This window comes from Homo sapiens, chromosome 22 (genome assembly GCF_000001405.40).
Source record: "Homo sapiens chromosome 22, GRCh38.p14 Primary Assembly".
Lineage (NCBI taxonomy): Eukaryota > Metazoa > Chordata > Mammalia > Primates > Hominidae > Homo > Homo sapiens.
The window spans coordinates 29,258,812-29,277,197 of record NC_000022.11 but is presented as its reverse complement, the minus strand read 5'-3'; the positions used below and the strand labels follow the sequence as shown (position 1 = coordinate 29,277,197).

Below are 18,386 nucleotides of genomic sequence, written 5' to 3'. Positions count from 1 at the left end.
CAGTATTTCACTAACCAGGTGTCAGAAAAAACCTGGTTTCACAGGTATGCTGCAAAGCAAGATGCATTCTATCCCTAGCTCCTGCCTCTGCCAGACCAGGCAGGATCCATGCCTTTCCCTTCGGGACTTCGGCGTGGAGCATGACCAAAACCACGAAAGTCTGCAGCTCCTAACTAGAGTACCTTTCCTGTAGGAGGTGTTACAACCATTCCTGGTGCTGGACTCTTCTTCCTCATGGTCAATGGGTACAATTAAGCCATGCAATAAAAAGTTTGGTTTACACTTTGGGAGGCTGAGGTGGGAGGACTGCTTGAGTTTAGGAGTTAGAGACCACCCTGGGCAATATAGTGAGACCTCGCCTCTACAAAAAATAAACAAACTTAGCTGGGCATGGTGGCGTGAGCCTTCAGTCCCAGCTACTTGGGAGGCTGAGGTGGGTGGACTGCTTGAGGCTGGGAGGTCAAGGCTGCAGTAAGATCCAGCCTAGGCAACAGAGACCCTATCTTAAAAAAACAAAACAAAACAAAACTTTGGTCTAGGTGCTGGCATTTATATCCAAAAAAAAAGTCTACATCTCACTAAAGAAAAAGCTTCCATATTTAAAATAAATCCTGAATCAAGACTGCCCATTTTAGTTAAGATTTAGGGCCTTAAAGTGTCCTCATGTACTGGCCAGAAACAAGTATCAGCTTCCTTTTGTACAATCACCATTTGTAGCACAGAATATAATAATACTCTTTCTTCTCTACCTCAAATATTAAAAGGAAATTCTGAAATTATACACAGAGATAGTAATGTCCTTGTCAAAACTGCTGAGTTAAAATGTGTATGAAAGTATACATAGTTCCAGAAAACAGGAAGCCCCAAGCAATAAAAGTTTTTGAGTTGGCATGTTGTTCATCTGAACTGCTTAAGTTTTTGCAGAGTCCTAAGGTCAACCACATAAGGCATTCATTTATTTAAATTAGAATCTAATACCATCTACCCTACCGTTCATATACCGATTACACCCCACTACATGACACGTCTATAAGATTTACAAGGAGGGCAATTAAAAAAACAAAAAACTAAAAGTGATCAGGGCAATAACTCATGTCATAAAACTATGCAGCAACAGTTAGGGCCTTGTCATGCTAAAGATTACAGCAATAGACACTGGGTTAATAAATAACCTTTTAATTAATCTGTAGTACCCACAAAAGCAGCCAAGCAAAATGAACAAAAATCAACAGAGCAAAATGATTTAATGACCAAAAAAAAAACAAAAAAACAAAAAAACAAAAGACCAGTGGCAAAAAAAGAAAACACACCTACTATGTGCTGACAACTTGAAGGAAAAAGGTGGTAAGAAATATTACACAAACCAAAACTTTTGTTCAACGTAAAAATTAAGAAGTTTTTAAGAATTCCATTGAATTGAGGTTTATATAACCCCTTTCTTCTGAAGTTTAATTTTTAAAAATCCTAGAAGAGAACAGTGTATTTCTATGTATTCCCTCCAATGACTATCCGATAACTTTCATGTGTAAAGGCAGTATGAGGTAAGGAAAAATGCAGCATGTGTGCTTGAACCCACGCACTACCAATTAGGCTCCTGCTAAGTTTTGTTCACACAGTTTGCTCATCAGGCTTAATTTTGGTGTTTTTATACCCCAAAAGTTCTTGGGAGGATTAAGGGAGACAAGAAGGCCACTCTATAAACTGTGAATTTTATACAAACATTATTATTACTAAGTGCAATCTCCAGCTCATCAAAGCTACTAGTCTCTAAACTAGAATGACCTGTACTTTTTAGGCCCACAGTCATGATGGGGATTTCTCAACCAACGACAATGTGATACATGGCTCTAGAGAACCATTAATTTGCCTATAAATCACTCCGTCTCATTCCTGTAAAATGATCTAAGGATTCGGAAGGCTAGATCTAGGCCACATTAACTTTCACATCATGCTTGTTTTAAAAAATGTAATGGCTTTAATACATGAAGTTTATCTCACAATTTCAAAATTCTATGCTAAAAAATCCAAACTGCATAACCTTAGTTCCAGCTCTTCCCACAGCTGCAATTAACACCACTAGAAAGTTTAGATAAACATTTCCCATCCTATTTGAGAAACACCCTAGAAGAGGTTAGGAATTACTTCCCATCAAAATCAGGACACTGGTACTCAATGAGATAAATTACAGACAGGTTTTTCCCCTTAACTGGACTATATATAATTTGGAGAACTAAAGACAGTTTGAAAATAAGAGCTCTGATATCTTTAAGACTTTATTAGAGTCTTTTATAACAGCAATAATAAAAGGGCAGGGGGAGACAGCCTGAAACATTACACAGCACTGAACACAAAAAAATTATCATAGGTTTTTCATGTATCCCACCCAACCTCAGTATCGGAATACAATTTCTTCTAATTCTTAGAATAGTTTATTTTTTAGTATCTTGGAATAATGTTATATATATTCAAGACATACCATGGATTAAAATAATTCATAACACTTAAAACAGAAAATAAAATGTGTCTGGACTAGAAACCAACCAATAGACAAACATGATACATGCAGGGTGGCAGTCTGCTCCTCTAAATAAATCTCATCATGCAATCTATCCTTCAGGGAACAGGGGAAAATCAGCTGGGGAGAAATCACCTGAAATACCTTTGGGAAGGTAAATAACTATTATTAAGGCTTGAAACAAAGTAATATTAAATAAAAAAACCTTTCCCAAAATCATATAAAGAATAGGACATGGATCTGCAAATGGCACCTGAAGCAGTTTTTCATTAGCACCTTGCTGTGTGTGATGTTAGAAAGTTTGGGGGTTCAACAAATGAAAACACCTAAAGGATTAACATTACAGGGTTAGACAAGATGGAAAGCATTTCCCATGCAAGAATGAGCAGGATAGTCAAACCTGTACTGGTCCCTTCTACTGTGGAAAGCACAAAACAAAAAGTAGAGGGTACACTATCAGATGAAGCAAACATGTGAAAACCAGTTTGATTTTTAAGCAGCTCAATTTAAGAAGACTCATTCTTACTCAGTATTAGCATTAGCAAAATCTTTTACATAGTCTCCATTTCATCGTGAGATTATTCAAACAGTTAAAAGTTCTTTTCTCTCTTGGAATTTATCCCACCCACATTCTATTGGAGATCTCTCAAGACTATAAGAGTAGGGAAGAAAGAGAAAAAATACCTCTTCCTAAGAATAAAGGATTCCCCAGATGCCAAGGTATGGACCAGAATATACATCCGAAAGCATGACTAATAAGCTTCTTAGCCAATGCCCTAGCCAGAACGACCCAAAAATCTCTCCAAGGCAGGCCTTACCAGTGGGAGGCTGTCCATAAGAAGTTGCATAGGCGGTCTGCCCATAGGTTGCAGTGGTCTGAGCCTGGGTATAGCTGACATCAGTGGGCTGTCCATAGGTTCCATAGCTTTGTTGCCCATATGCCTGCTCCAAAAAAAAACGAATGCAAGAACTTCATACATGAACTTTTGTATTTTAGCAATAAAATGGACTAAATTGGAGAACCAAAATCAAAAACATTCCTTTCTAGAAGATTAAAAAAACAAAACAAAAACAACAAAACAAGACAAATAATCACAGTATCATGAATGTTATCCCTTATCTGGTTCACTCATATTATGGTAAAGTTAGCTACGGAAAAAGCTCATTAGGTAAGTAGGCAATGTCATTCACAGCTTCTCAAAAGGGGGAAAAAAAAGATAATCAGGCAAAACCTCAGTTAACTATACATGAGATTAACAAGACACTCTCAAGGGAAGAGCAATAAGGGCACAGGTGTATTAACTGCTAGCACTTAGCGTAGCACAGTTTTAGTGATTGGAAACAAAAGGTACGAAGACAAATGAACAGAGAAAGCAATGAAGAGGGCTAAAATCTGTCAGAAAAAATTGAAAACCAGATTTTCAGCCTGACAAAAAGACTTTAAAACTACTATACCACTTCAAAGAAAATGAACCAGAACGCTGTATGTCCTCTTATGGTGGGCACATCAAGAGTACTGTCTTTTGAACTTAGACATCCATAATACTTAAAATCAGGCAAGGAAGAGTTGTTCTTTCAGATATTAGCATGATTATTCTCTAGGTTTGTTTAAATGACCAGTTATGTAAGATCTGCCAGAGACATCACATTCTGCTTGTCCTAGAACATGTTTCCATGGCAGTTATTAGTATCCATTTTATGGCATGGATCATTTCAGAATTCAACATTATCTTGAAAACACTAGAAGGCTAATTTCTAGAATCTGTTGGCCTAGGCTTTTCAACAGACTCTTCACTGGAAAGAGCTCAGCAGCTCCTTGGCTAGGTCGCCAGTTTTTAGAGCTAACCCCGCCACTTACTGTGCAACCACTGGCAAGTTACTTAATATCTATGCACTGCAATGTTCTCCTCTGCAGAATGGTCATATCATCCTCTTCCTTTGCAGAATTGCTATGATGAATAAATTCACTAAATTTAAACATAATGAAGAAGGACCAAGCATGGAACAGGGCACCTAACTTGAGAAATCATATTAAAAAGTTATAAAGAGTCAATTATCAGCTTCTGAATGGTTTCATTTATGATGGCACAATGGAGTCCTTCGCACTCCCACTGTGAAAGTTTAAAATGCCTGGGTATTTTACTATTCCAAACACATTACTCATTTGTTTTACTGGATAACTGAAAGATAACTGGATAATATACTGATTTTACTTGGAGGTGCAGCTACATGTAATTATTTTAAAGATTACCTGGGTGGTCTGTGCATATCCTTGAGTGGGCTGGGCGGTGTAAGCACTGTAGCTGCAAAAGAATTAAATGCAATAACTTGAATAGAGAACATTCAAATACCACCTCTACAATTATAGAAGGCTCCATATTCAAAAAATATTAATCACACACAAAATACGGTTATAAAAGACTGACTTACCCCTGCTGCGCTGCAGCTTGGCTATAGGTACTGTAATCTAGAGGAAAACAAGGAGGAAAAATAGTGTAAAGTTAGCAGAAACAAGGAGAAGAGAAAAAAGGGGGAAAGAATTCACGTGGCAGGAAGAATTCTTTAAACTGTAGGGAGACCTGCCAACACAGGTCCAAATGAGTCCCCCTTACCTCTCAACATCTAACAGAAAAAAAAGTCTAAACCAGTTAAACTCAACATTTGACTGTGGGACTAGCTAATGAGGTCAAGATCAGCTGATTTGGCAGGTATACTTTTTATGTTCCCATGACCACAAAACCCATCCCAATCCCAACTGTCATTTAAAATACAGGATGATCATCAATATCACAGACTGACAACAAGATCTACTAACAGGATCAGAAGTTTCTACCCTCATATAAAACGGAGGCATGCAACAATAATACAAAGTTTAACACTAGATTGGTTACGTTAGAACCTACCTCTCCTCAAAAATTAGTTTTCACTCCCCTCACTTTAGCAAGTTAGACAAACCATCATTCCCTAGCTCAACGACAGTGAAACGGAATGGCAGACAAGAAGGCAGTCACCACACTCCAGTGTTTTAAAGGGTTTGCTGTGTCAGAACTATATTTGTGCAGCAACTTAAAAGCTAGATATATTATAAACCCTGGTGAAGCAGAGCTAAGGCAGAACCCTGAAGACTGGCAAAGAAGAAAAAGCATTTAGTCTTTCTGGGAAAAATTTGGTAACACCATTGTCTTTCATACAACTCAAAATGATTTCAACTTAAAAAAAAGACATGAATTTTCATCCCTTATCTAAGTAAACCTCCCTATAATTTTCCTTTTCCTATGAAATTTATAACATGCATCCAAAGGGACCAAAAACTGGTCCACTGAGGTGTCTACAAGTAGTAAAAACAAACGGAAAATAGTTTTCAGAGCGCTACTGCATTAAAGTTAGATAAATTTAGTTTTTTTTTAAAGGCAGTTAAAGTAATTATTTTTGAAAATTCTGCCCAATTCTTTCTTCTCCACAAGAACACATATCTTGTTCTGTCTGAAGACAGTACTGCCATTAGGACGGAAAAAAGGGGTCCTTTATTTTCCAATCAGAAAGTAGTCCCTCATCCAAAACCAACAATTGACAGCTCTTCATGGCATCCACTTCATGGAATCCAAAGCCAGCCTCACAATCCCTCGGCGGCCTGAGAGAGCTTTGCTGAATCCATCTCTTCACGTTGGCTTATCTGCCTACCTCTCTGTACTTTACTGGACTACTTTCTTTCCTTTGTACACACTCTTAACTCAAAACCCTGAATCACCAAGAGGAACAAATCAACTGCCCAAAGGCTAACCTATAATGAAAAAAATAATCTGTTCATGACAATCTTAAAGGCATTTTCAATAGCACTACAAGTCATACTCTCTCTGACATTAAAACTAAATGCAGATCATTTTTTCCATGTGGCATCTACAAAATAAACACAGCAATGAATCATTTAACATCAAATATTTTAACCCACGTTTTGTTGAGGTCTTTGCTTGAGAAGTGATTGTAAATCACTGTCATGTAAGTTCAACGTTTGCAAGACGACTTTTACGCAAGAGCAGTTATGTAAAACATCAAACTGGCAAAGCTGATATGGAACAACCAATGACCTCTTATCAGTGAGAAACCACAGGATTCGGCCCTATACTAACTGGTGGGCTATAGAAGGTAGCAAATTTGTTTCATGAACTTACATTTATCTTCCTAGAGCACACAAACATCACAGGCCCTCAAGCAAGCTATTAGGTTGATGCAAACGTAATTACTTTTGCACCAACCTAATACAATTACAAACTGGTCAGATTATTCAGCAACCGTGTTCGTTTTTAACCCCCAAAAGTGAGCCACTGACTTCACTAAAAATCACTTCACTGTGATTGAGCGCTGGGGGTTCTAGATTGCTGCGAGTCTGCATTCCAATTCTTTGTTGCACTGGATATATATGCTTTACGTACTTTTCTACATGAGATAACATACGAGGAGAGAAAACTTCTATTATTAACCCAAGGCAACGGTTTAACACTTTAGAGCAGTCACTATGGAAGCTGCTTCACACTACCTGAGTTGAGCTTCACAGTACCTGAGCTGAAGTCAGCATAGGACAAATTTGTGGAATGCTTATGCTGGAAGGTCAGAAGGGCTCAAAAGCTTAAGAGGTCTAGCCTAACTTCTGTATTTTACAGGAAAGGAAACTAAGGACCAGATTACTTATGTGACTCTCTGAAGGCCCCCCCAGCCAGGCCTAATGTGTTTACTTTGTGTCAACAGAAACCACAACTGTAATTCTAATACAGTACAGCACATGGTAGTTACTGGTGAACAAGGTTTGAACAAAGTTGACTGAAAAAAGGCACGTCCAGCCACGCAAAAATGTCAACGCACACGTTTTGCCTTTTCAGGCTTTTGCAGAGCAGAAGAGGGTGGATAGGGCACCTAGGAAACCACTTCCCACCGGGAGGTTAGCTGTGGTATTTCAGTCCTCTCTTCTACCGGCACTCTTTGGTATCCACTCTTTGGTATCCCGGCACGAACAGCCAACACTTACCTGTTTATTGACCACAGATGGGGAGAATTCTTAAACTGTCCTTAAGTTGCTGGATTCTGGACTCCAAAAACTCTGGAGTGCCCAGAACTTTTCCTGTCTTCCTTCTCATCTTCTCCCACTGTCTCTAAGGCCTGGAACCAGGTGGCCTGAGAATACCCCCGGGGCAAAAATGCTCCACCCTGCCAATTTTCGCGGGTTAGTGTACCCACAGATTGCGAACTGCAGGTGATGGCTAGGCGACACTCTTAAACGCTCCTTCCATCAAGGACCACTCTACTCCCATTTTGGAGTTCCCAACCGGGGCTTGCTTGCAAGTGCCTTTAAGATTGCTTCTACTGGCCTTTTTTCCCCTCTCCTCTGTCGACCTACGAAATCAACAGGCCTGCCGGCCTAACGCAGGCGAATAAACGTGCGAGGCCACTGCTGAAACATAATTCAAATGAAGGCTCGGCCTTTTGTTCCTCCTAGGTCAGAGAGACCAGAAATATCTTTCTGGTAGCGTTTCTCGTCTCTCGACCCAGGCTGGCCTTATTATACAACGGATGTCCCTCGGCGTTTGCAGAAAAAGGGCCCTGGGAAGCCACTTAATTGGTTTTGGGGGAGGGGAGGACGTGGATTAATAACGATAAAAATGGAGAAGCCCAAGAAAGCGGCAAACTGGGGGCCCTGGAGGAGGGAAGCACATTCTGTCTAAAGCCCAGGCGAGCAGAAGTTCGGCTTGGGGCTGGAAGCCACAGAGGGGGCAGCTCGGCAGCGCCAGACGCCCCAGCCGACTGGGTCTTAAGGATGACGGGGCTCCCGCTCATAGGCCGGCACCCCTCGGCCCACAAATCCACGGTATCTTTATTTGCTTTTTCCCCTGGTTTCTCAGGAAACCCTGAAAACGGGGAGGGAGGCCTCACAGGGACAGCAGCCTGCGGGCCCCCCGGCGGTTTCATAGTGACCGGCTTGAGGCCTGGCCAAATCCTCCCCTTCACGCAGGGCCTCGAAGGCCGCAGGCCCCGCCCACGTGGCGGGAGGCCCGGAGCTCAGGGCGCGAGGACCGCCACACAATGGAGGCCAAGGCGGGCCCCGCGCGCCCCCGCCGCAGCAAGCCCCCCGCGCGCCACGGGCGCCGGAAGATTCCAGAACCGGCCCGCCCGGTTGGGGGAGGGGAGAGGAATGCGGATCCCCGAGCTCGTCGGGCCGCGGCGGGTGCCTCAACCCCCTCTCGGCAACTCCACTCAGTCTTCCCAGCCAAGCCCAGAGACGAACGACCCCCAGTTTGGGCGTTCCGGCTACCGCCGGCGCGACCGCAGTTCCACCATACTCACCCGTGGACGCCATTTTCTCTCCTTCCTCCTCGTTCTCTCAACGTCCGTCTCCCTCTCGCTTTCCCTCTAGGCGCCGCACTGCGCAGGCGCAAATCTCGCAACCCCGGGCGCGACCATCGGGCCAGGCCACGGGGGTGGGGTCAGGAGGGATGAACCACCGCTTACTCGTTCTTCGCGTCCGCAACTCTTGTCCCAGTCCTCTCTAAAGAGCGCCCGACGTGACACTCGGGCCAAAATAGCATCTAAGGGGCCAGAGCGGGGGTGAGCGGGTCTCAGCGTGAAACCGGAGAGGCTCTCAGCACGAGACTAGGCTGTTTGGAATGGTTCCGTCCGCTGGCTCTAGGGACGGTCGCTGAAGAGTCGGCCCTGCAGGGAGACGGAGATCGGCGGGAGGGCTGGGGGAAGGGACCCGGACTAGAACAACTGCTGACTAATCCGCGGGCCGCGGGGAATGGGTGGCGCGCCAGCCGGTCGGCAGGGGTCACGCGGCCGGGTGTGCGCGGAATGGATTCAGGGTTCTCGGGTCGCGCCCGGGAGCTAGAGTCCTGACTCCCAGCCGGGGTCCCCGACCGGCCTTTCGGGGTTGCCGGGCGCGCTCTGCAGTGAGTACCCGGGACGCGTGGCCCGGGCCAGCGGGGAAGGGTCCCCAAGGCCGGTCGGCTGGGTGGGAGGCCTCGAACGCCGTGCCTGGCCCCGAGACCCTATCCCCGGTAACGGTCGAGGTGGAGCAGGCCCTTTAATCATCCCTCATCCGATATCCTTGTTTCTACAGAAGGGGAAACTGAGGCCCAAGGAAATTGAGTATCTCTGCAAAGTCACCAGCTGAGTTCGAACCAGACAGATCCTGGGACCCCCTACTCTATCCGCCACCGGAAGAATCTCCGTCCTTGTCTTTCCATTCTGCCCTCCCGGCTTCCCAGTAAGGTAGGCAGGGCCTGGTGGTGCACTGCCCCGTTTCATAGATTGAAGAAAGTGAGGTCCAGGGGGCTCAAGTCCCAGTTCCGAGTGTCCACGGGTAAGCCCTTCACCCTTGCTAAGGTGCCCAGAGCTGGGGAATGGTTGTGAGGTGTCGATGCAGGAGGAGGTTTACGGTGGGTGCCTTGGCCCCAAACCCTGCCTCCAGGCAAGGCTGACCCTGCCCACCTTCCTGGACCTCTAGCCCCAGCCCCCTAGGTGGATGCCCGGGTCCGCGAAGGGCAGGGTTCACCTTCAAATCCCTCGGCAGGACCAGGAGCCAAGCTAGTGTCCTTTTTTCAGTGAACATATATAAAGCACTGGCTGTGTGCTGTGAATACCCTGGGGAATGTGGGGTTGGATCAGAGGAGCCATGAGCTCAGACCACCTGCCTAGGGAGACAGACTGGCCAAGCTGTGCTCCTAAGGATAAGATCCATGATGTTAGGGGGCCAGAGGAGGGGAAGGGATATTTGAGCTGGGCTTCCAAGGGTGAAATAGGAGTTTGCCTGCTGGCAAAATGGAGGGAAGGACAATGCAGGCAGAGGAGCTTTCCACATTTTTCCTGCAGGAAACTGGTAGATGTGGAGAAGGCGCTTGGCAGGGGAGCAAATTAGGCAGCCTTCTTGTCTCTCTGGGATCCTGCTTCCTGCCCTGAATCAGCTCAGTGGGAGTCCTGGGACCGAGAGGCCTGACCAGGGGTGAAGACCTACAGGCCCTGGAGGACAGGCTGGATGCAAGAGAACAGCACGGGGGAGAAGGCCTTGCTTTGGTGGGCAGGGAAAGGCCATGTTTGAGGGCCAAAGCTGGGACCAGCTAGGCTGGAGCAGCCACCTCCATATTGAGGCCTTCTCGATGGGCCAGTTGGTGGCTACAGACGCCTGCCATGATTAGTGCGGATTGCTATGGTTTATGGAGGAAGAGTTGTGGGCCAGGGCCTGCCTTAGCCTATTCCTTTTTATTTCATCATACTCTGAGGAAAAGAATTTATGAATTTCCATTTTACAGATGAGAAAGGAGAGGCTCATCTGTAAAATGAGGCTCATCTGTAAAAAGATGAGGTTGGAAACTTGCCTCAGGACACAGAGCAGAAAGAGGTGGAGCGCATACTGTACCCTTCCTGTGGAAAGGGGAGCCAGGGCCAGAGGGGCTGTGCCAGTAAGGAAGCAGGAGGAGGCTTACAGTGGATGGGTTCACCCTCAAAGGGGATGTCTCAGTCGCAGGTCTCTGAGTATGGCTCAAGATGTGGGACTTCTGCCCATCTGCCCTACCCCTTACCCTGTCGGCTTGCCCATTGTCTGGCCCCACCCCAGGGTCAAGGGCAACTGAAACCATCTGGAGCATTAAGGCTGGGAACAGGGGAGGGGAGGAAGGAGGGAGGTAGTAGTCTGAGGGAAGGGGGAGGACAGAAGAGGGCTAGAGATGGCCCTGAATTCGCCCTGGGGGGTGAGGGCCTGAACCCCTCTTTTTGGGAGTTCAGGGCCTATCAGGACTCAGAAGTCTCTATGCCTGTCCCCTGCCAGTCCTTAAACAGAGGTGAGTGGAATGGTAAGATGGCTTATGAGCGCATGGGTTAGGGTCTGAGCTCCACTAAGGCCAAGCTGCTGGGCCTGCGTCTCCAGCCTGTTTCCACCTCTGTAAAATAGGGCTGTTGATAAGGTGCTTGAGAGGGTATTGGTGAGATAAAAGCTCCAGTAATAACTTGTTATTGTTTTCTTTTATCCCCAGCACACAGCCCCAGGACCACCCTTGACCGTCCTCAACCAAGCGATGCATGCCAGGGGCCCCCATGGCCAACTGTCCCCAGCACTGCCTCTGGCCTCCTCAGTCCTGATGCTGCTGATGAGCACCCTGTGGCTGGTGGGGGCCGGCCCCGGCCTGGTCCTGGCCCCGGAGCTGTTGCTGGACCCCTGGCAGGGTGAGGGCCAGCCACGTGGACCTTGGAGGAAGCAGGAGACTTGCTGTAGGGCCTGGGCCCACTTGGCAGGAGCAGCACAAGGCCTCCAGGGGTCAAACAGGGATGGGGCCCAGTGTCCCGGGAAAGCATGGCCTTAGACAGGAGCATGCCCAGCACATCCACAGCCAAGAAGGGAGGCAGAGGACTCCCTAGGGTGGGCTGGAACCTATGGGTAGGAGTGCTTTTCTCATGGTTTCCCTTTCTAGCAGCTTTTCCTTGAAATAAGAACTAAGGCCAGGTGGCTGACGCCTGTAATCCCAGCACTTTGGGAAGCTGAGGCAGGTGGATCACTTGAGGTCAGGAGTTCGAGACCAGCCTGGCCAACATGGTTAAACCCTGTCTCTACTAAAAATACAAAAATTGGCCGGGCGCAGTGGCTCACTCCTGTAATCCCAGCACTTTGGGAGGCCGAGGCGGGCGGATCACGAGGTCAGGAGATTGAGACCATCCTGGCTAACACGGTGAAACCCCGTCTCTACTAAAAATACAAAAAGATTAGCTGGGCGTAGTGGCGGGTGCCTGTAGTCCCAGCTACTCGAGAGGCTGAGGCAGGAGAATGGCGCGAACCTGGGAGGCGGAGCTTGCAGTGAGCCAAGATCGCGCCACTGCACTCCAGCCTGGGTGACAGAGTGAGACTCCATCTCAAAAAACAAAACAAAACAAAACAAAAAAACAGCTAAGACTTTCAACTAAGCATCAGGATGGGAGGAGGAGGTGTTGGGGTTTTGAGGAGTGACCTCAGCTGAGCACCTGTTTCCCAATAATAACTCCTCCAATTTGTATTTGAGGACCCCCAATGATGCTCAGAGAGGTTAAGTGATTTGACCAGGGTCACACAGCTTGAGGGAATGGGGTAGCTCCAGGATTGAAGCAGGCCATTTCATGCTCTCAGCCAGGTATGATTTAGTAAATACAGAAGCAGAGTACCTTCATGGTGTCTGGGACATAGTGAGTGCTCTGTAGCGGGTTGTCAGTGAAAAGACTGAGTGGCACGTCCAGTGTATTCTGTTTAATACCACAGAGGCGTAGCCACAGTGTTTGGAAGTCCTTGGTCCCTTCCACCAATGATTAAGTGCTGGCTGTGGGAAGACTGGCTCCTGGGGAGGGGAGGTGGGCTCAGCAGGTGGCCCTGGTGTAGCGTAACCTTCAACCTGGCACACCTGGGACAGCCTTGGATGTTGGGGCCACTAACCTGGCACATAAGCCCCTTCTCTCTCCCAGTGCACCGGCTGCTGACCCATGCCCTGGGCCACACGGCCCTGCCAGGCCTGCTCCTGAGCCTGCTGCTCCTGCCCACTGTGGGCTGGCAGCAGGAGTGCCACCTGGGCACGCTGAGATTCCTGCATGCCTCAGCCCTGCTCGCCCTGGCTTCTGGGCTGCTGGCAGTGCTGCTGGCAGGCCTTGGGCTGTCCAGTGCAGCCGGCAGCTGTGGATACATGCCTGTCCACCTGGCCATGCTGGCTGGGGAGGGACACCGCCCTAGACGGCCCCGTGGGGCACTGCCACCGTGGCTGTCGCCGTGGCTGCTGCTTGCCCTGACCCCACTGCTCAGCTCTGAGCCACCCTTCCTGCAGCTCCTTTGCGGCCTCCTTGCCGGCCTGGCCTGTATCCTTTGCCTGAGCCCAGGGCCCGTGGGGATGTGTGGGTTCTGTGGGTGGGTGCCTGGGAAGGAAGTGGCACAAAGGGGTGAAGGCCCAAGCAATACCAAGGAGCCGTGCACACACATTCCAGGAGCTTCTCTGAGTCTTCCTCTGGGACATGCTCTGGGCTGGGACCTGGGGTCTTATGGCCTGGTGGAGGTGCCAATTACAATGTAAAGGGCTACGTGGGCTCCCTGTAATATCAATGCCATTCTTCGCAGAAATAGAAACAATAACCCTAAAATTTATATGGAACCACAAAAGGCCCAGAATAGCCAAACCACCCTGAGCAAAAATTAAAAATTAAAAAAATTAAAAGCCTGACCGGGCGCAGTGGCTCACGCCTGTAACCCCAGCACTTTGGGAGGCCAGGCGGGCAGATCACTTGAGGTCTGGAGTTCAAGACCAGCCTGGCCAACATGGTGAAACCCCATCTGTACTAAAAATAAAAAAATTAGGCCAGGCGCGATGGCTCATGCCTGTAATCCCAACACTTTGGGAGGCCAAGGTGGGCGGATCACGAGGTCAGGAGTTCGAGACTAGCCTGGCCAACATGGTAAAACCCCATCTCTACTAAAAATACAAAAATTAGCTGGGCGTGGTGGCGTGCACCTGTAATCCCAGCTACTTAGGAGACTGAGGCAGGAGAATCACTTGAACCTGTGAGGCAGAGGCTGCAATGAGCCGAGAACATGCCACTGCACTCCAGCCTGGGCGACAGGGCAAGACCCCGGTCTCAAACCCCAAAAAACAAAAATTAGCCAGGCGTGGTGGCAGGCGCCTATAGTCCCAGCTACTTGGGAGACTGAGACAGGAGAATCACTTGAACCTGTGAGGCAGAGGCTGCAATGAGCCGAGAACATGCCACTGCACTCCAGCGTGGGCGATAGGGTGAGACTCCGGTCTCAAACCCCAAAAAACAAAAATTAGCCAGGCGTGGTGGCAGGCGCCTGTAGTCCCAGCTACTTGGGAGACTGAGACAGGAGAATTGCTTGAATCCGAGAGGCAGAGGCTGCAGTGAGCCAAGATAGCGCTGCTGCACTCCAGCCTGGGCGAGAGAGCGAGACTTCCTCTCAAAAAAAAAGAAAATTAAAAGCCTAAGTGAATGGAAAGATCTCATGTTCACGGATTGGAATACTTAATATTGTTAAAATGGTAATGCTACTCAGTTGATTTATAGATCCCACACAATTCTTATCAAAATCTCAGCTGTCTTTGTTGTTGTTGCAGAAATTAGCAAGCTGGTCCTAAAAATAATATGGAAATGTAAAGAACCCAGAATACCTCAGATAATCTTGAAAAAGAAAAGCAAACCTGGAAGACTTACACTTTTCAATTTCAAAACTTAAAACTACAAAAGTGGCCAGGTGCGGTGGCTCACACCTGTAATCCCAGCACTTTGAGAGGCCGAGGCAGACAGATCACTTGAGGTCAGGAGTTCAGGACCAGCGTGGCCAACATGGTGAAACCCCATCTCTACTAAAAATACAAAAATTAGCCAGGTGTGGTGGCACACGCCTGTAATCCCAGCTGCTCAGGAGGCTGAGGCAGGAGAATTGCTGGAACCCAGGAGAGAGGTTGCAGTGAGCTGAGATTGCACCACTGCCCTCCAGCCTGGGCGACAGAGCAAGACTCTCTCCAAAAAAAAAAAAAAAAAAAAGCCGTACAAAATTATAATAATCAAGATATTGTGGTACTGGCATCAGGATAGACATACAGATCAATGGACTAGAATTGACCATCTAGAAATAAACTGTTAGATTTACTGTATAGTCAATTTATTTTGACAAGAGTGCCAAGTCGATTCAATGAGGAAAAGAATATTCTTTTTAATAAATGGTGCTAGAGGCTGGGTGCAGTGGCTCACGCCTGTAATCCTAGCACTTTGGGAGGCTGAGGTGGGCCGATTTCTTGAGGCCAGGAGTTTGAGACCAGCCTAGCCAACATGGTGAAACCCTGTACTAAGAATACAAAATAATTAGCCAGGTGTGATGGCACGTGCCTGTAATCCCATCTATTCGGGAAGCTGAGGCAGGAGAATTGCTTGAACCTCGGAGTTGGAGGTTGCAGTGAGCCGAGATTTCACCACTGCATATCAGCCTGGGTGACAGAGTGAGACTCTGTCTCAAAAATAAATAAATAAATAAGTCGTGCTAGAGCACTCTTTATTGGTGTTCTGCTTCTGAGATTTTTTTTTTAATTTTTAGAGACAGGGTCTCATTCTGTCACCCAAGCTGGAGTGTGGCGACGCCATCATAGCTCACTACAGCCTCAAACTCCTGGGCTCAAGCGATCCTCTTGCCTCAGCCACTTGAGTAGCTGAGATTACAGGTGTGCACTGCCACGTCCAGCTAATTTTAAAAATTTTTTGTAGAGACGGGGTCTATGTTGCCCAGGCTGGTCTTGAACTCCTGGCCTCAAGTGATCCTCCCGTCTCAGCCTCCCCAAGTGCTGGGATTATACAGCTGTGAGCCACTGCGTCCAGCCCTAAGATGATTCATACCTATCGGGGAAAACAGTGCCACTGGAGAGAACAGGCTGGCCTCTGCACTCTGGATTGGTGACAGGAGTTATCCAGGCCTGTCTGAAGGCAATAGCAGGTGTGTCCATGGGACTTCTTCCAGGACGGGTGGGTCTTGAGTTACAGACCTGAAAAGGTGCATAGGGTTCTGGGAACAGAGTGGGTCACGGGTGAGCCCAGGCCTTGGGGTGAGGCATACCTGGCTCTGTTTGGCTGAGTAGCTTCAGGCAGATCCCTTTTCCTTTCTGAGCCTCTGCTGCTGACCAGGGTGACGCTATTCCATGCTGGTCCACAGTGAGGAGACGGGAGGGAATGGTGGCCAGCACACTTGGCATGGGGCCTGGCCTGTGGCGTGGGCCCACCCCTGGCTGCTTTTGGTTTTCCTTGACCGGCCGCCCTGCCCCGGGCAGACAGATGCAGCTGGGGCCTTCCGGTGGCTGGAACCCTCAGAGCGACGGCTGCAGGTGCTGCAGGAGGGCGTCTTGTGCAGGACCTTGGCGGGGTGCTGGCCCCTGAGGCTCCTTGCCACCCCGGGTAGCCTGGCGGAGCTGCCTGTCACCCATCCTGCCGGAGTGAGGTGAGGGTGATGGGGGGGATGCCAGTCCAGGTGGTGGGCACTGTGGCAGGGCTGCCAGTCAGGCCCTCTTCTCTTCCCACTCCTCCAGGCCTCCCATCCCTGGACCGCCTTATGTGGCCTCCCCTGACCTCTGGTCCCACTGGGAAGACTCAGCCCTGCCCCCACCAAGCCTGAGGCCTGTGCAGCCCACCTGGGAGGGCTCCTCAGAGGCAGGCCTGGACTGGGCTGGGGCCAGCTTCTCCCCAGGGACTCCGATGTGGGCGGCCTTGGATGAGCAGATGCTGCAGGAGGGCATCCAGGCCTCGCTTCTTGACGGGCCAGCCCAGGAACCCCAGAGCGCACCATGGCTGTCCAAGTCCTCTGTCTCCTCTCTGCGGTAAGGTGGGGTGGGCAGAGGTGGGGTCCCCTGGTATAGGGGCCGGGGTGGCCCTGACACTCCCCACTTCTCCCCCCACCCCCAACAGGCTGCAGCAGCTGGAGCGCATGGGCTTCCCTACGGAGCAGGCGGTGGTGGCACTGGCAGCCACAGGCCGTGTGGAGGGTGCCGTGTCACTGTTGGTTGGAGGACAAGTGGGCACTGAGACCCTGGTGACCCATGGAAAGGGTGGGCCTGCCCACTCCGAGGGTCCTGGGCCTCCCTAGCCCAGGCAGAGAGTGGGGCACAGGCAGGCCCTTGGGTGCTAAGGGCTGGGCTGCATGTGGGTAGCCCGAGCTCCTACTCTGTCTAAAGAGGGCCACAGTGGGGAGCAGGGGCACCTCTGGAGGCAGGAGAGGCCCCCCAGCATGCTGCCCTAGTACGTGTTTAGAATAAAAACCAGTTTGTTTTTCAACCTGGACCTCCTTGGAGGCAGCAGTTGTGTTTGACTCTTCTGTGTTGGCATCAGGGGGATGAATGAATGAGTGAGCACCAAATGAATGACCAGTTGTGGGAGAGCTGTTCCCTGATGTCCAGAGACACAGGCTTCCTGGCCCTGCACCTTGCAGCCTATACCTCCAGGAGGCTCTGTCCTCCAGCACAGAGCATTCTCCACCGCCCATTTCTAGCCCTCTCCGTCGTAGCCTCATTCCCAGCTGCCCCCATCTAAGCACACACTGAGACCAAGCTGCGGGGAATCAGGTAGGGGCCTTTATTGGCCAGCACACATCTACCTCCTGGCATCTGTCACAAGCATTTGCAGGAGTAGGCGGCCCCTTCCTCTCCATGTCCCCATCCCCAACCTGAGATGCGGGAGGGCCTGGGGGCTCAGAGGGAAGAACTGAGGCAAGAAGCCCCCGGTGATCCAGTCAGAGGATTGGGCAGCCTGACCTCGGGGTGGGGAGCCCAGCACTGGACAACAAGGAGGGAGGGGCACAGGAGGGCTCCCCGAGGTTTGGTCGGGGAGGGGGAGGAAGACTGCCCCCTGCCCTGTCATCTCTGCATGTGCCGAGCCCCAGCTCCTGACTCCCTCAGTGCCTTTGGGCCTGGATGCTCAGACAGCAGATGAGACGAAGCCTTGTACCTCTATCCCTCCTTGAAGGCCTGCCTCCCCCCACTTCACAGAGGGAAACTGAGGCCCAAGCCTCTCCTCTCAGCCCTTGCTCAGCCTCAGACATGTGCATGGTGCCAGGACTGAGACCTGCTTACCCCTAAGGCCTAGATGGCAGAAGGGACCCTGAGGACATTAATAAATATGGACGGGCGGTCCCTGGAGGCAGCTGGCCGAGTCCAGGTAGGAGGGGAAGCCTGGCCTGGTCTGCCTCAGGGGCCGCCACCACCCTCAGCCTCTCTCGTCCCGGCTCCTGGGGGCCACGATCCGGTAGTTGGTTGCATGTCCGCCCCTCTTGCCCCGAAGGAGGCTGGGGGTGCCTGTGCCGGCAGGGCCCGCCCCAGACCCCAGCTCTGGTTCTGCC

At 49.4% G+C, this 18,386-nt stretch overlaps 3 protein-coding genes across 72 annotated transcripts in view, besides 7 other annotated features; 1 reads left to right on the top strand and 2 right to left on the bottom strand.

The window, feature by feature from the left end:
- Positions 1-8,930, bottom strand: part of EWSR1 (EWS RNA binding protein 1) — a 32,254-nt gene extending 23,324 nt beyond the window's left edge. For 30 of the 52 annotated variants that reach the window (NM_001438528.1, NM_001438539.1, NM_005243.4 and 27 more), the window contains exons 1-4: positions 8,849-8,930; positions 4,946-4,982; positions 4,767-4,818; positions 3,334-3,457 (exon numbers count right to left, since the gene is read on the bottom strand). In NM_001438528.1, the coding sequence (NP_001425457.1) occupies positions 3,334-3,457; positions 4,767-4,818; positions 4,946-4,982; positions 8,849-8,861 (226 nt within the window). In that variant the 5' untranslated portion in view covers positions 8,862-8,930. Of the gene's footprint in view, positions 1-2,915; positions 2,934-3,333; positions 3,461-4,766; positions 4,819-4,945; positions 4,983-8,848 lie in introns of all 52 variants that reach the window. The other 22 variants (NM_001438500.1, NM_001438536.1, NM_001438532.1 and 19 more) reach the window with 2 other exon arrangements.
- Positions 7,333-7,382: an enhancer, noted in NCBI's record as "active region_18813". NCBI's record gives its function as "activates an Ori minimal core promoter by ATAC-STARR-seq in GM12878 lymphoblastoid cells {active_cell/tissue: GM12878}" and the evidence as "EXISTENCE:reporter gene assay evidence [ECO:0000049][PMID:35858748]".
- Positions 8,467-9,338: an enhancer, noted in NCBI's record as "NANOG-H3K27ac-H3K4me1 hESC enhancer chr22:29663849-29664720 (GRCh37/hg19 assembly coordinates)". NCBI's record gives its function as "activates a minimal SCP1, AML or CMV promoter by ChIP-STARR-seq in naive H9 embryonic stem cells {active_cell/tissue: H9 hESC(naive)}" and the evidence as "EXISTENCE:reporter gene assay evidence [ECO:0000049][PMID:30033119]".
- Positions 8,585-8,674: a silencer, noted in NCBI's record as "silent region_13588". NCBI's record gives its function as "represses an Ori minimal core promoter by ATAC-STARR-seq in GM12878 lymphoblastoid cells {active_cell/tissue: GM12878}" and the evidence as "EXISTENCE:reporter gene assay evidence [ECO:0000049][PMID:35858748]".
- Positions 8,845-8,904: an enhancer, noted in NCBI's record as "active region_18812". NCBI's record gives its function as "activates an Ori minimal core promoter by ATAC-STARR-seq in GM12878 lymphoblastoid cells {active_cell/tissue: GM12878}" and the evidence as "EXISTENCE:reporter gene assay evidence [ECO:0000049][PMID:35858748]".
- Positions 9,015-9,074: an enhancer, noted in NCBI's record as "active region_18811". NCBI's record gives its function as "activates an Ori minimal core promoter by ATAC-STARR-seq in GM12878 lymphoblastoid cells {active_cell/tissue: GM12878}" and the evidence as "EXISTENCE:reporter gene assay evidence [ECO:0000049][PMID:35858748]".
- RHBDD3 (rhomboid domain containing 3) lies at positions 9,035-17,346 on the top strand. Of its 6 annotated transcripts, none has more exons than NM_001329536.1 (7): positions 9,035-9,109; positions 9,621-9,772; positions 11,530-11,719; positions 12,980-13,363; positions 16,334-16,496; positions 16,585-16,872; positions 16,961-17,346. In NM_001329536.1, the coding sequence occupies exons 3-7, from the start codon at positions 11,572-11,574 to the stop codon at positions 17,136-17,138; spliced, it is 1,161 nt and encodes a 386-aa protein (NP_001316465.1). In that variant the 5' UTR covers positions 9,035-9,109; positions 9,621-9,772; positions 11,530-11,571; the 3' UTR covers positions 17,139-17,346. The 6 variants fall into 6 exon arrangements, 5 of the variants coding, with proteins under 5 accessions (NP_001316465.1, XP_024307977.1, NP_036397.1 ...); NR_138044.2 differs by lacking the exons at positions 9,035-9,109; positions 12,980-13,363 and adding exons at positions 9,217-9,450; positions 15,773-15,998 and having other exon boundaries at positions 16,961-17,326; NM_012265.3 differs by lacking the exon at positions 9,035-9,109 and adding an exon at positions 9,217-9,450 and having other exon boundaries at positions 16,961-17,326.
- Positions 15,894-16,747: an enhancer, noted in NCBI's record as "H3K27ac-H3K4me1 hESC enhancer chr22:29656440-29657293 (GRCh37/hg19 assembly coordinates)". NCBI's record gives its function as "activates a minimal SCP1, AML or CMV promoter by ChIP-STARR-seq in naive H9 embryonic stem cells {active_cell/tissue: H9 hESC(naive)}" and the evidence as "EXISTENCE:reporter gene assay evidence [ECO:0000049][PMID:30033119]".
- Positions 16,748-17,602: an enhancer, noted in NCBI's record as "H3K27ac-H3K4me1 hESC enhancer chr22:29655585-29656439 (GRCh37/hg19 assembly coordinates)". NCBI's record gives its function as "activates a minimal SCP1, AML or CMV promoter by ChIP-STARR-seq in naive H9 embryonic stem cells {active_cell/tissue: H9 hESC(naive)}" and the evidence as "EXISTENCE:reporter gene assay evidence [ECO:0000049][PMID:30033119]".
- EMID1 (EMI domain containing 1) overlaps positions 17,601-18,386 on the bottom strand; it is a 53,702-nt gene continuing 52,916 nt past the window's right edge. For all 14 annotated transcript variants that reach the window (XR_937808.4, XM_011529869.4, XM_011529868.4 and 11 more), the window contains one exon: positions 17,601-18,381. Coding sequence is in view for 13 of the 14 variants with exons in the window: in XM_011529870.4 (XP_011528172.1) it covers positions 18,235-18,381 (147 nt within the window). In the remaining variant the exon portion in view is untranslated. The remainder of the gene's footprint in view (positions 18,382-18,386) is intronic.

Coding starts and splice junctions, on each gene's coding strand:
- RHBDD3 (XM_024452209.2), top strand. CDS start 12,823: ATGATTAAGTGCTGGCTGTGGGAAGACTGGCTCCTGGGGAGGGGAGGT. Junction 16,497..16,584: donor ACCCATCCTGCCGGAGTGAG/GTGAGGGTGATG, acceptor CCACTCCTCCAG/GCCTCCCATCCCTGGACCGC. Junction 16,873..16,960: donor TCCTCTGTCTCCTCTCTGCG/GTAAGGTGGGGT, acceptor CACCCCCAACAG/GCTGCAGCAGCTGGAGCGCA.